The 14,896-nt window shown below is 38.4% G+C and overlaps 1 long non-coding RNA gene across 1 annotated transcript in view; it reads left to right on the top strand.

Moving 5' to 3' along the window:
- Positions 1–14,896, top strand: part of LOC105374506 (uncharacterized) — a 165,476-nt gene that overhangs the window by 29,113 nt on the left and 121,467 nt on the right. The window contains exon 2 of the long non-coding RNA XR_939997.3: positions 11,098–11,166. This is a non-coding gene — a long non-coding RNA (uncharacterized LOC105374506). The remainder of the gene's footprint in view (positions 1–11,097; positions 11,167–14,896) is intronic.

The raw sequence follows: 14,896 nt of genomic DNA, 5'->3' as shown, positions 1-14,896 counted from the left end.
TATAAGGTAGTATTTAAACAGGAATTCTCGTGAAGCCTGATTATTGAGCTGTTTTTTCTAGCTTTATAATCATCAGAAGCAGCTGCAAGGGTAAGCATTAGTTTATTTTTCCTATCATGGAAATAAAATTGGTAAGACTGATTTTTTTCCTTTGATCAAACAGACAGATTGTTTACTTGTTTAAGTGACAAGATCCTTTGTTATCCATTTCCTAGACCTAGCCATCATTTCTCATATGATACAATGACACCTGATGATTTTTCAGGGTTCTGAATGGTGTTCTGATGTGCAAGCACATCAAGCAGTCAGACAAACCAGGGTTAAGAGCACCAGATGGAATTTAGCATCTAAAATTAAAGTGTGGTTACTAATAAAGAATGGGTTGGAAATGAAATAAGAATTCTGGAAGTTTCAACAGAAAGAGGATAGAAGCAACCCCCACTGTTGAAAGGCCAACAAGAAAATAAAAAAATGTTTTCACTGGGCAGTTAGCTGTCTCAAAAGAAGATGGTTTGCAAATAGTATTTATCTTATTGTGGATATTTCTGACCTATTTTTATAGTTTCTGCATTGAGTCTATACTCTCTTTGTTGAATAATCCATTGTTTAAAAATTATTAGCCATATCATTGGTTTGATCTGATTGGTAGCACAGATGTAGTAACTGATTGTTCATGAACTGACCTTGACATCAAAAAATCAGATCAGTCTTGGGGTATAAGGATAGTGGTGGATTTTGTTCTATATTGCATTGGCCCAAATATCAATAACTATGTTGGTCCAAAAACATTGAGGAAGACTTTGCATATAGAACCTATAATACAGGAAACAAAATGTCTAAATATTTCTAAACCAACAAGAATCTGTGGATTAAAACAATTCTGGCCCTAGGATGGGTAACAATGAAAGGAATTGTCTTATGAAAAATAATAATAATTTGAAGGCTTTGTCCTCTTGCCAAATGAAGGCACTTGAGAGATTATTGCTTCTCTGAACCACTAGAGAGATTATAGCTTCTCACTTTAGCATATACTTACATCTCTGGAATTTCAGAAAATTGACCAGAAAACCAGCTGTAATAAACGTAACGTATTATTATAGTGGATTCTGACAAAACACAGTTGAAATATGTTTATAGAATATTGAGAGAAAAGGCATTAGAGTTGGACAAATATAAATGAAAATTAGCCCGATTATACAGCTACCAGTGATTTCAGAACTATTTGAAATAATTTAACTGATTTTCACCAAAGATTAGGTGGGGCTAAGCAGCTAATGTGATGGTCTCTAGATCATTATGTGATCTTTTATAATTGGGTTCACCATATAATTTATTAGCCAAATCAGGATGATTTTGAGAGTGAAAGGGGCCATTATAAATAATTATGGTGAGCTTCCCAGCCACTGGTAATCCTCCTTATACTACCTCTGGGTGTTCAATTGTTTTGATTTTTACATCCCACAAATAAGTGATCACATGCAATGTTTGTCTTTCTATGCCTGTCTTATTTCACTTAACATAATGACCATACACCTACTAGGTACCCACAAAAATTAAAAATAAAAAAATTCTTTAGAAATTATGCTGGGACATCAAATATACATCGGGACTACCCTAGAGAAATATTTAATTATATACTTTTAAAATAAATATGGCGACTCCATACTTCCTAATCTGAACGTCATTGATAGTGCTGATATTTTAGTCCTATATTTATGAGAAATTAGTTTTAATAATAAAATATGATAATCCCATACATAATCTCACAGTCAAAGACGTACATTGTCTAAAATGGGAGGCAGGTAGGCCTGGGGGAATGATGAGAGCTAGGCTGAGTTGAGATACTGGACTAAAATGAGAAGAGGGCAATAAATAGACTTTTCTACCATTGGCTGGTTAGAACCAAAACATATTAGAATAAAACCTCATATCCCTGTTTCTATCCCCTTGTTACATGTATAAATAGTATTTCCTCCAAAACTTTCACCCAGATGCAATTTTAGGTGACCTGTGTGGACTGTTTGAACTTGGCTGAGTACTGTTTTGGGTTTACCAATGTATTTGATCATTAGTAACCAAATAGGTCAGTTGAGTTCCTGGCGTCCTCTTTGCCATTATCTGCCTTTATCTCCCTATATCTTTGCATGAAATAGGAAGGCAAGTGATAATATTTAAATATGTTAATGTAAAGTTTAATTAAATAATGTACTTCTTTCCAAATATTGGTTAGAGGGATTCAAATTTTAAGCCGGGTTTGTAGTTATGATAGCATAGCCTTCTGATCAGCAAAAATTCACTCTCTTATATATCTTTCTGTGGGTAGAGTATATTCCCCCTTTCACTGGTTTTTGCCTGGGCCATGTGACTTGACCTGGGCAGTGGGATATTTGTAGACATAAAGTGAGCAAAGGTGTGTGGTAGAGCTTGGTTTTTGCCATCGTGATGAGAAGAGCTTCTTCCAGGTAGCTGCTCCTTCTTTAGCTTAGTTTCCAGAATTTACACACACACACACACACACACACACGTACACACACATATCGCAGATGTGAACTCAACCTGCATTAAGGAGCCAAGCCCAGCTGAATCTGTAGTCTGAAACAGAATTGCTCAGCTGCTCCCAGCCTGGACCAGCTGATTTACAGTCAACCTACAGACTCATGAGCATGGAAACAAAAGCTTGTTGTATTCCACTGAGTTTTGCGATGGGTTGTTATTTAGTGTCAGTGAGGCAATAACTAAAAGAGTAATGCCTTGATATCACTCTCTCGTAATAAAAGAAGCTTCAGACACTTTGGACCCCTGTTTTGTTTTCTGCAGTCCCTCTAAGAATGGTAAGTGCTACTAATGCTCCTCAAATGCTCCTAGAGTCTCTCTGTGAACCCTTCTCACATATTACTACTTAATATTGCCAGACAACTCATCAACTTCAAGTATCATCTAATGTCATTGATACTTAAGACCCAATCTTTATCTAAATTATTATTATTATTCTTTTTCTCTGAATGTTTAATTTGGAAAATATTGGGAGGAAAAACGAGGATTTTTAAGAAACCAATGCATAAACATCAAGCAGGGAAATTAAAAGGCTTTCAGGGTTCCTGGCTTGAGATATCTTAAGGGGCCTGTTTACAAGTAGATTGGGGAAATCTGCTAATCCCCTGGCTACTTCTCCTTGAGCCCTCTAACCAACTGGCTGCACAGTTTTGGACAACTCACCTAAGCTCTGTGTCTCAGTGGCCTCATCAATGAAATGAAGAGGATGGAATGCAAGCTCCACGAGGATCCATCTGTTTTAAAGATCTATGTGTTTCTGCAAGTGTGGTCTTGAGGCACTTGCATCAAATTTGCAGGGAGCATTTAGATAAATTATCCTCCTACCTTAGGTTAACTTCTAAGCAGTCTTACATACATGGTTCAAAGCCTACAATATAAGCAATTTTAAATGTCCATAAGGGGACCTAAATGGAAGTAATTTCCAACAAAAAACCAATTTTAAGCTCTTTATTCTATGTGGGCCTATCAGAAGAAATTGCAAAGGCAGGGCTGGATTTCTGCTCTCCTGAAGCCTACAGTGTAATGGATTCACTGAAGTAAATCTACTATTTGGAGAATATGCTATGAGGGAAAAAAGATTCTGAGACCCTGTCTTTGGTTTGTTCTCTTAAGTTCCTTTTTTACAGCTCTGATACAGAAAGGTTGTTTTTTTTTTTGTTTTTTTAAATTCACTATTGACACATTTATTCACTCAACAATGAGCATTTCCTGTGTACCTACTGGGTGCTTTCTTATTGAGATAAGAAAGATGAATAAGAGATGGTTTTTACCTTCGAAGAGCTTATAGTTCAATGAGAGAAACATAAAAGAGAGACAACTATAGAGATTTGCACAAGGGCTGTGGGAGGAGATCCAAATGCACCGTTGGGTAAGGGTGGTACCAAGAATCACTTCTCAGAGAAGGTGATGCCTGAGTTGAGTTCTGAAGAATGAGCAGGAGCAATGTAAACAAGAGAGGCCAGGCTGAAAGGGAATTTTTGCAGAAAGGTCACCGTGGGTAAGAACATGCATTAGATGTTTACGAAACCACAGTTCAATATGCTTGAAACTTAATGTACATGAGGCGGTTTGATGAGTCAAGGCTGGAGGGTGATCTGGGGTAGAAGTAACCCTGATATCAGAACTAAGAAGATTTTGTTGTATAAAAATAAATGTATGTTTGAGATTTCTGTGGCCTGATATCTGCTTTTTCTGTAGGCAGGTCCTCTTATTACTCTGTGCTCATTAGCTCATCTGTAAATGTGAAAAGGCAAAGATATGTCTAGTTTTGGTATTTCCCTAGTACTTAATAAAGGATTGTGGGTGGTTTAAAGTGACAATTACCAGGGAGATATAAGAAAGAGAATATAAGGCTGGGTGCGGTGGCTTATGCCTGTAATCCCAGCACTTTGGGAGGCTAAGGCGGGTGGATCACGAGATCAGGAGTTTGAGACCAGCTTGACCAACATGACGAAACCCCACCTCTACTTAAAAAAAAAAAAAAAAAAAGTAGCCGGGTGTGGTGGCACACACCTTTAATCCCAGCTACTCAGGAGGCTGAGGCAGGAGAATTGCTTGAACCCAGGAGGTGGAGGTTGCAGTGAGCAGATACCAAGCCACTACACTTCAGCCTGGGTCACTGAGGAAGACTCCATCTCAAAAAAAAAAAAAAAGAAAAAGAAAAACTAAAAGGTCATCAAAGGAAAAGTCTCCTAAAAAACATAAGGAATGTTCTTTCTGATAGAAATATGGAATTTATTTTTTAGTTTATGAAATGAGCAATGAGCTGATAACTTGATAACTTCAGATGAACAGAAAAGATCATAGGTAATCAAAGTTTTGCCCAACAGATGCTAAACTTTGTACATCATAACTTTTTTTTTTGAGACAGTCGCATTCTGTTGCCTGGGCTGGAATGCAGTGGCGTAATGACAGCTCATTGAAGCCTTGACTTCCTGGAATCAGGTGATCCTCCCACTTGGCCTCCCAAGTAACTGGAATTACAGGCATGGGCCACCATATCTGGCTATTTTTAAAACATTTTTTATAGAGAGAGGGTCTTGCTATGTTGCTCAGGCAGGTCTCAAACTTCTGGGGCCAAGTGATCCTCCTGCCTTGGCCTCCCAAAGTGCTGGGATAACAGACATGAGCCACTGTGCCTGGCTGTATATCATAATCTTATAGGATATGGTATATTTCTATATATACTGAGTGTTAATTTATGAACAAAACTGCAAGGAACAGCTTTTGATTGGAAGTCATATATGGAATGTGTATTTATCTATGTTCAGTTGTTAGGAAAAGTCTAACAAAACATGTCACAATAAATATTACTTGCGGTAACTGCTTTACATCTTCTATAAAAGCACTGAATACTGGATAATCTAAGCCCTTCTTTGGATGTGAAGAGACCAAGGCCTCTGAAGGAAAAGGAAGTTATCTGAAGAAGTAGAAACCAGGACACTTGACATACAGTCTGGTGCTTCTTCATTGCACACCTGCTTTTCTTATCCAAGATCTCTTGATACCACTTACTCATCTAGCAATTTTTTTTTTTTTTTTGGACATGGATTCTCACTCTGTTGCCCAGGCTGGAGTGCAGTGGCGCAGTCTCAGCTCACTGCAAGCTCCACCTCCTGGGTTCACGCCATTCTCTTGCCTCAGCCTCCTGGGTAGCTGGGACTACAGGTGCCTGCCACCACACCCGGCTACTTTTTTTTTTGTATTTTTAGTAGAGACAGGGTTTCACCATGTTAGCCAGGATGGTCTCGATCTCCTGACCTCATGGCGATCCGCCCACCTCGGCCTCCCAAAGTGCTGAGATTACAGGCGTGAGCCACTGCGCCTGGTCGCAAATATTTTTTAGCATGTACCGTGTGCCAGATACCATGCAGTTAGTCACAGTTATTATAGTTACATATTCTTGAGTTAACATATGCTACTTATTTCACTGTAATTTCCCATCTTTTGATTGTGTCTGATCAGATAATAATTTTTAGTTTTATTTTGATCAGAAACTATGCTAATAAAAACTGGACTTAATTTCTGCTTGGACAGACGATAAACTGTAATCCTGAAACAAAAATTTGACTATGTTATTATACATTATAAATCAAAATGAAGTAGTATGGAATAGAAAAGAATAGAACAGAATGTTAATAAATCAACAATGTCTCATTGATAAGGCTCTTTTCTATATAATTGAAACTCTTAGATGAATATGTATAAAGCCAGTTTTTGATATGAAGACATAAGGCTGCTTTTATGCCTTTGTGTATCCTCAGGGCGTTGTAATAACTGGCTAAGTATTTGATTATACTGCATTATGTGTTTTCTGACCCCAGGGATGTTCAGTTCACTTGGGAGAAAATACTCACTTCTGTAATGCACGGATTATTACATTAGGAAGTTATATATGTTATGTCTTAATTAGAGACACTAAATTGTAAATTTCACGCAGGTAGAAATCATATCTGTCTTGTTTACCATCGTGGAATCTAGCATGATGCTGATGCAGAGTAGGTGGACTGAACAAACATTTATTAAAGGAGTAATTGAATAAGTGTCTGGGCAACTGAATGTTACAGTAGGTAAACTGAAGGAATTCAAAGGAGTGGGGGAAGGGGGAGATTGAGAGAGAGTTGGAATGATTAGGTCTTTACCTGCTTAAGGAAAAGGTAAAGCTTATTAAAAATTGTTATCTCTGTAATAGAAGCACCTTGAGTTAAAAACTTTCTTCTTTAAATGATTCTGAATTTTAAAAGTTTCAACATGGAACTTACATTTAATGCTAGTAAAAATGATTACTTAAAAAATGCTGGCCCTCAACAAGAGCTGTTGTAAGGGTGAGTAGGGTTTGGATAAAGAAAAGGAGTGAGTTTCAGGTGGGGTGCATGGCAGTCGGCAAATTGCAGAAATGAAAAAGGACAAAACATGTTTGGAATGTCCGTCTGGAGGGAAGAAAGTAGGAGATAAGGTGGGTAGGCTTTGATGTGGCCATTATTGGACCCGAATCTATGTCAGGCACACTAGAGTACCTTCTGTGAAGATTGACTTGAGGACTAAGACAAGCCCTCGTTCTCTTAAAGCTCCCCTATCTACTGACTGATTTCTAAAAAAAAAAAAAAAAAAAAATACAGTGATTAATTTTAACAACTTAACTATCTTATCCTCATAACGTGAATATCTCTTTTAGATTTGTCTGCTTGACATAAATCATTTTCACTCTAAAGTGACTGAAGAATTTGGGAGCAGCGGCTGATAATCGTGGGGATCAAAAAGAACATGAGAATAAAGGAAACATGAAGGCATTGCTGGGTAGAGAAAAGGTCCAATAAGAAGGTTGAGGGACAAATACACAAATTGCCTCCTTTACAGCAGTCCTGTCTTGAGACCTTGGTAGCAGCAAGGGTCAGCAGTGTTGGAAATGGAAGGTCACTGGGAAGGACACATAGGTTATTTTGTACGTAGCTTTCTCAGAGATCATTGGCTTCATTCCTTCTGAATGTAATATCCAGTTACTTTATTGTTGGCTTTGACCTTGCTTGGTGCAATGGAAAAAACTCAGAGTCTGTACTCAGGTTTAGCTGTGACTATAGAGACAGCTCTGATGCCGACTTGTTTCATGATAATGGGCAAGCTCCTAATGTCTTTGGGCCTCAGTTTCTTCATCTTTATTAAAATAACAGTGCCCTTCACTGGTAGGCTTTTATATGGGTGAAATGATACAGCTATGGTAAGAGCCTGCTACATATAATTATTACTGTTTTTCTTTTCCCCTTCTCAACATTGGCCTCTATAGACTTATTTCATTAGAGATTTGTTTTCCTTTCCCGCCTCAGCTTGTTGAGAATTCGTGATCATTACAAATATTATTTACAGGACTAAAGCCCATAAAAATGTGCCTTTTAAACAATACTCATTAGGAAATAGCAATCATTTTTATGTTCTAACCAAGCAGCAGTCAGAAATACTGTGTGGGACAAAGCATTTTTCCCCTTTGCTAGGCAACACTCCATTATGTTTTACATTTACATTCAGTATAAATAGACTCGCTACTTAGTTTGGTTGCTGAATGCTACAAACCAGGATTTATTATCCTTCTGCTCTGTACACACTGGGTTTCTTCAGCATTTTATAGATGCCTGTTAAAGTTGAGCTTCTGTTACAGTCCAGCTACAGCCTTTCCAATTGGTGGATTTCCTTCAATTGTTGGTACTTTATTTCATGAAATGACATGGCTGGAGGTGACAGGAAGAGTGGAGGTGAAACCTCTCCCCAGCCTGGAAAGCAGGCTACGGCCAACCTCACCCATAATGACTGAGGGACCCTCACACAGTCTACTTGGCAGAGGTAGTCCTAGGTCACCTCAGTCCAGGGAACTTCCAGTTCCCTTTAGCACTCAGCTCACCAGAGCAGACATCCTGGTGTGAATCACCACTCTGGTTCCAGAAGTCAACATGGAATTTTAAAAACAAAATCAGATCATGTAATCCCCTTGATTACATTTCTTCAGTGGCTTCTCTTTATGCTTAGAATAAAATCCTAATCCTTACAATGGCTTACATGACTCTAGCTACTCTGTCCTTGCTGTGTTTCTTATGTCATTCCTTACCATTCTCTCCCTCCCTCACCATATCCAGTCACTCTAAGCTTCTTTCTCTTCCTTAAATGTGCCAAATGTATTCCATCTTCCTGTTCTTGCTGCCTAGAACACTTTGAATCCATGATTGCCCACTTCCCGTTATTCAATCTCGGTTCAATGCCATCTCCTTTGAGAGCTGTTTTTGATGCCTTCATCTACCCGCTAGCCTGCTCTTACCCCTTCATTCTCCAGTATGTCCCTGTGTTTTATTTTGTTCACAGCACTGATCACTTTCTAAAATGAAATTATTTTTGCTTTTACTTTCTTATTATCAGTGTCTCCACTCCAGACTGTAAGCTCTGTGATAGTAGGGCACCCATCTATCGTGTTTACTATTGCATCTCTTGCCTCCGAAAGTGCCTGGCCCACAGTCAGGTACACAATAGATATTCAAATACATGAGTTTTGGAAATAAAATAGAAATGTGAAACAGTCAGAAATGATGTTTGAGCTGATCATGATTATATTTGTACATATGTAATACATTGTGTTTCCTCAGTTACTAATGATTTAGGAATAAAAGCAACATTCCAATTATATACACAGGAAGACTTCAAGTTTACTTTCTCTTTCAGTGTATAGGAACACTGACCAATGCTGCAAAATAAGATTTTACATGTGTATGGCTATGCCTAATTTCCAAGTAGTTTAGATACTACTTTCGGTATCCATATCACGGTGGTGTAGACCAGGCCTCCAGAAAATTCTGGGCAAATGAACTTGAATTAGGAACCCCAAATAAAAATTTTATTACTGTTAAGACTTGCAGTTGTTTCTTAAAATAATTAGGACTTGATTATGGTGATAAATGTTTAAATCTTCAACTGTGTGTCAACAACATCTTTTCAAAGAAGAGCTCTAAATCAATTTTATGAATCAGAACTGCGTTAATTAAAAAAAAAAAGCATGTCAGCCAGGTGTGATGGCTCACGCCTGTAATCCCAGCACTTTGGGAGGCCAAAGTGGGTGGATCACTTGAGTTCAGGAGTTAGAGACCAGCCTGACCAATAAGGTGAAACCTCGTCTCTACTAAAAACACAAAAATTAGTTGGGTGTGGTGGCATGCACGTGTAACCCCAGCTACTTGGGAGGCTGAGACAAGACAATTGCTTGAACCCAGGAGGCAGATGTTGCAATGAGCCGAGATCACACCACTGCACTCCAGCCTGGGTGATGGAGTGAGACTCTGTCTCAGAAAAAAAAAAAAAGCATGTCCTCAGTAAGCTGTAGACTATTTCAGCCAAAATAACTATCCTGGGCATAAGTTGCTAGAATTTGATTTATTCTGAAAAGGGGTAAAGGAAATGAAAGAGACCCTCATTCACAAGGTTGCTGTCACTTAGCCTTTAGGGGTGGCAGTGAAGGGAGTAGGCAGACAACTGCTGTGACCACAGTGGAACACCAATGCCATAGACCTCCTGGGTTCTCAGCCTTCTTAGCCTGCCTCTTTACTTTTGGTTTTACAGAAATGACATAAAAGAGGTATTCATATTCTTTCATGATTCTAACAGAAGCAGGAAAGATTAAAATTCATTATAAGAAAAGAACAACAGAAAATCTCATTTGATATTTGCTGACTGTAGAAATAGAATTAACTTTATTCTGTAGCCTTCATAGAGCATAAAGAAAATGGTATGTATAGAGACTTGCCATTCCTTTTCAGAGGGTTTAATTTAACAAAAATGAGATTGCGATTTTAAAAAACTGACTTCTTAAAATAGATGAAGAATCTGAAATGAGCATTTGATAGCACATAACATTTGCTCGTGACTGATTTATGCTCATGTCAAGATCATTGAAATCCAAACTACAATATAAAGGACAATTAATTCTTTAGGGATGTTTCACATACCACCATGATTATTATGAACTTTGTGTGAACTGTAAGGGATAAATATCAATCTCTTTTTTTCTTTTCAAAATATCAGGATTTTGGTAATGCATTTTAATGTAAGATCAGGTGCTGTCGTTCTAATATATTTAGGTCAGATGACTCTGAAAGCTATTTGGGGATTAGTTAAATTTTAAATGTTATCCTGCATTAAGAGTTGTGGGTTCTTAATTTTCATTTACATTCCACTGCTATTTTCTTTTTCACCATTTGAGAAATTGAAATTTTCCAACCTACTTTTATTTCATTCCAGTAGGATTTATATTTTCAGAACAACAGTTAAACAGTGGAACTCACAGACATAATTTGATTTGAAAGATGCATTAATTTGATGTATTAGGAAAAAAATGTAAAAGGCCAGGTATTCTATCTTTACTATCTGTAATTGATCTTCTTTTATCTCAAAAGTATCATAGTATTTTGCAATTTCATGTTTATGCTAATTTTATAAAGTAAATATTTAATACAAACTTACTGTTTATTCTCAAAGCCTCTTTCTTTTTGTTTCTTTTTTTTTTTTTCCTTCAAGTGGACTCTTTAGTATGGTTATTTGGATGATGGTTTTGATTCGGAGAGTCAAAAGCCATGGTATGTGAGGGTAAGTAAACATTTCTCTACTTTGGTTCTTTCCTCTCTCTTATTCTGATAAAGCAGCTGATAAATGAATGCCCTTCTCATAAGATGGAGCTACAGCAGGAGAATGTCAAATAATACTATTAATTGCATGTGGCTGATGAATACAGATTTGATGTGAAAAAGTTATTTGTTTTATTTAGAGCTTTTACACTGCAAAGACTCAAATGTAGAGATCCATAGAACTATTTGATTTTCAGGTTTGTTCTGTGGCTCTCATTGTGGAAAAGCATTTATGCATATTTATTTCCTAACATTTCTGGATGGGGTTCTCCTTGAAAAACAGAATAGGCCAGGTGTGGTGGCTCATGCCTGTAATCCCAGAGTTTTGGGAGGCCAAGGCGGGTGGATTGCCTGAGGTCAGGAGTTTGACACCAGCCTGGCCAACATGGTGAAACCCCATCTCTACTAAAAATGCAACAATTAGCCAGAGCAAGGTGGCACGTGCCTGTAGTCCCAGAGACTGGGGAGGCTGAGGCAGGAGAATTGCTTCAACCTGGGAGGTGGAGATTGTGAGCTGAGATCGTGCCACTGCACTCCAGCCTGGGCGACAAAGTGACACTCCATCTCAAAAAAAAAAAAAAAGAAAGAAAGAAAACAGAATTTATGCTGTGTTCAGCAAACATCTTACATAAAAAACTAAAGAGAATTCTTATGAAGGGTTTATTTTTCTCTTTCTAGGAAAAAAAGCAGAAAGTAAACATTGTTTCTGCTGAAAGAGTGATGAAGCAGACAGATATTATGCCCCTCTGAACTGATCCCACCCAGGGCTCAAATTTCCAAGAGAACTGTATGCTTATAAATATTATGGGACCAGAAGCAAGGAAATGAATGGATTCTTGGTTAAAACAGAAAATCATGAATTTTACTTTACTTTTAATTTATTTCAAATTGTTCTTACTCCAGTAGACAATAGAATTATGAATTTCTGAGTCCTGGGTTTCTACTTTGTGTCTCATCTCATCTTTCAAGTTCTAACACTAGAACATTTCCTTATTCTTGGTGTTTAATTTAGACTTCTGATGAGTCTAAGGGCCTCAGAGTGGCCAAGAGTAGAGGGACCACTAGAAAGCCATTTATAGTGGTGCTCCTTTTGAGGAGTCATTTCTTAAAACCATCATCATTCTGGGCAGCTCCGGTGGCTAACGCCTATAATACCAGCACTTTGGGAGGCTGAGGTGGGTGGATCACCTGAGGTCAGGAGTTTGAGACCAGCCTGACCAACACTGAGAAATCCCACCTCTACTAAAAATACAAAATTAGCTGGGCATAGTGGTGCATCCCAGCTACTCAGGAGGCTGAGGTAGGAGAATCGCTTGAACCTGGGAGGCAGAGGTTGTGGTGAGCCAAGACCACACCATTATGCTCCAGCCTGGGCAACAAGACTGAAACTCTATCTCAAAAACAAACAAAAAAACAACAACATCATTCCATACTTTCTTGAATTGCATTAGGGAAACATATCTATAGATCAAGGAAATGAGATATCCGATTAAAATAAATTGAAATTCTACACAGAATAGTGTAAGTGTGTTTATTATAAAGAAACAGGTATTTCATAGAAAGGTTCTGACTCTATTATCTGAGACTGTCAGTGTGCGTTGCAGTTTACAAAGGCAGAAACTACAACCGAACATTAAGAACAATCAGACATGGGGGCAGGAGTGCCAGCAGAAAACAAGGAACTTGCCTATTCAACTCCTCCATGTTCACAAGTCTCCTTCCTTTTGCCATAGGTGTAATCTCATTGGTCATCAGTATACATTGCTCCCGCTTTTAAGTTTGTGGGAACATCTAGACCTGAGGCTATTTCCAACTGTTTCCCAGTTGATATAGGTTTCGGTCTAGGTCCTGCTGCTTGCCACACAGAAAGCCAGTCACTGAGATGATGTGTATTGCCAAGGAAGAAGACTTTAATCGGGTGCTGCAGCCAAAGAGATGGGAGCTCAGTCTCAAATCCATTTCCCTGACTGACTAAAACTAGGGGTTTATGAAGAAATGTAACAATGTGTAAGAAGACAAGAACTAGGGGGAGGCAAGGAGGCATCTGGTGAGTTTCAGTTTTTTGATACTTTTTTGAGAGGCCTGAAGGTCCTTTCTTGAGGAAGGAACCCATAAAGCAAATACAAATTTCAAGCTTTAACAGCAGAAGGGTAAATTTCTATGTTTATCCAAAAACAACTGTCTATGGGATTATTGGGCCTGTTTCAGTATGTCTTAGTTTAGAATCCTGAGAGAGAATTTGTTTCATAGGTGAGAGGTCCAAACCTTAGCTCCATCCAATGTGGTCAGGTTGATAAAATGTGATAGAAAGATGGCAACAGGGTCTAACTCTATTATTTGAGGCTGTCAATGTGGGTGGCAGTTTACAAAAAAGAAAATGTAGGATAAACAGGCTGGCTACTTAGTGTGTACTTTAAATACAATCTAGTGCTCTGATCCTTTGTGCTTTTTAACTCCTTTATTTCAAAGAAGGAGACATATCTAATGAGCTTCTCTTGCCTTCAAGAGTATTCCTAACCAGTGAAAGATGCTAAATTGTTCTCATCCTTCCGTTATTTGGATATGAAGAGATCTTGGCCACAGCTCCAAATTTCTCTTGAAACATTCAATCCATAGGGTACAAAGACACTCACCAATTAAGGTTAGGGTGTTCTAGAAGAAATAGGCAAACTGAATTCTAATAAACACTCATGTTAGGGTTGTAAGAATGTTGTAATCAGAAAGTTTAACATAAGATTCTCCATCTCAATATACTAGGAAAATAATTATTATCTTCTTCTGAGTATATTGAAGAAAATTATATTAATTTCCTAGGGCTGCCATAACAAAGTACCAGAAACTGGAAGCCTTGAAACAACAGAAATTTATTGTATCACAGCTGTTGAGGTTAGAAGACCAAAATCAAGCTGTTAGCAGGATTGATTCCTTCCGGAGGCACTGAGGGAGAATCTGTTCCATTCTTTGGCAGTTGCTGGCAATACTTGGTGTTCTTTGGCTTGCAAAGTCATCACTCCAAAGTCCACTTCAGTTGCAACCTGGCATCCCATTCCAGCATCCCCCAACGTCATAATCTATTCCAGCATTAAATCTAAGTCTAAAATTTTATCCCAAAATAATCAGCTGAAAAAGTCCCAAATCTCATCCTTTGAATTATGTAAATAAGGTATGGATGAGACTCTGGGTATATTCTATCCTGGGGCAAAATTCCTCTCCATTTGTGGACCTGTAAAACCTAGAAAACAAGTGACTTGCTTCCAAAATACAATGGTATGATAGGTATAGGATAGACATTTTCATCCAAAAAGGGAAAAAATAAAAGGGAATGAAGGGGTTACTGGCCCAAAGAAAGATTGCAACCTAACAGGGCCAATTCCATTAGTTTTCCAGGCATGAGAACAATTCTGTATGGCTTGATGCTCTGCTCCTTAGGTAGCTCTGCCCTCTCTTCTCTTGATGATAGTCCCATCCCAGAGCCCTGCCCTTTCTGGAAACAATTCTGTGTGGCTTGATGCTCTGCTCCTTTGGTAGCCCTGCCCTCTCTTCTCTTAATGATAGCCCCACCCCAAAGCCCTGCCCCTTCTGGGCCTATGTCACCTGGGCCAGCGGTGACAGCAGCCGCCCCACTAGCCTCAAGCCACACTTGGGGTACAATTCTCCCCTTTTCTTGAAAAATAACATATTTATAGCTGGGT

This window comes from Homo sapiens, chromosome 2 (genome assembly GCF_000001405.40).
Source record: "Homo sapiens chromosome 2, GRCh38.p14 Primary Assembly".
NCBI lineage: Eukaryota > Metazoa > Chordata > Mammalia > Primates > Hominidae > Homo > Homo sapiens.
The sequence above is the reverse complement of the archived record's forward strand: the minus strand, read 5'-3'. Positions and strand labels throughout refer to the sequence as shown.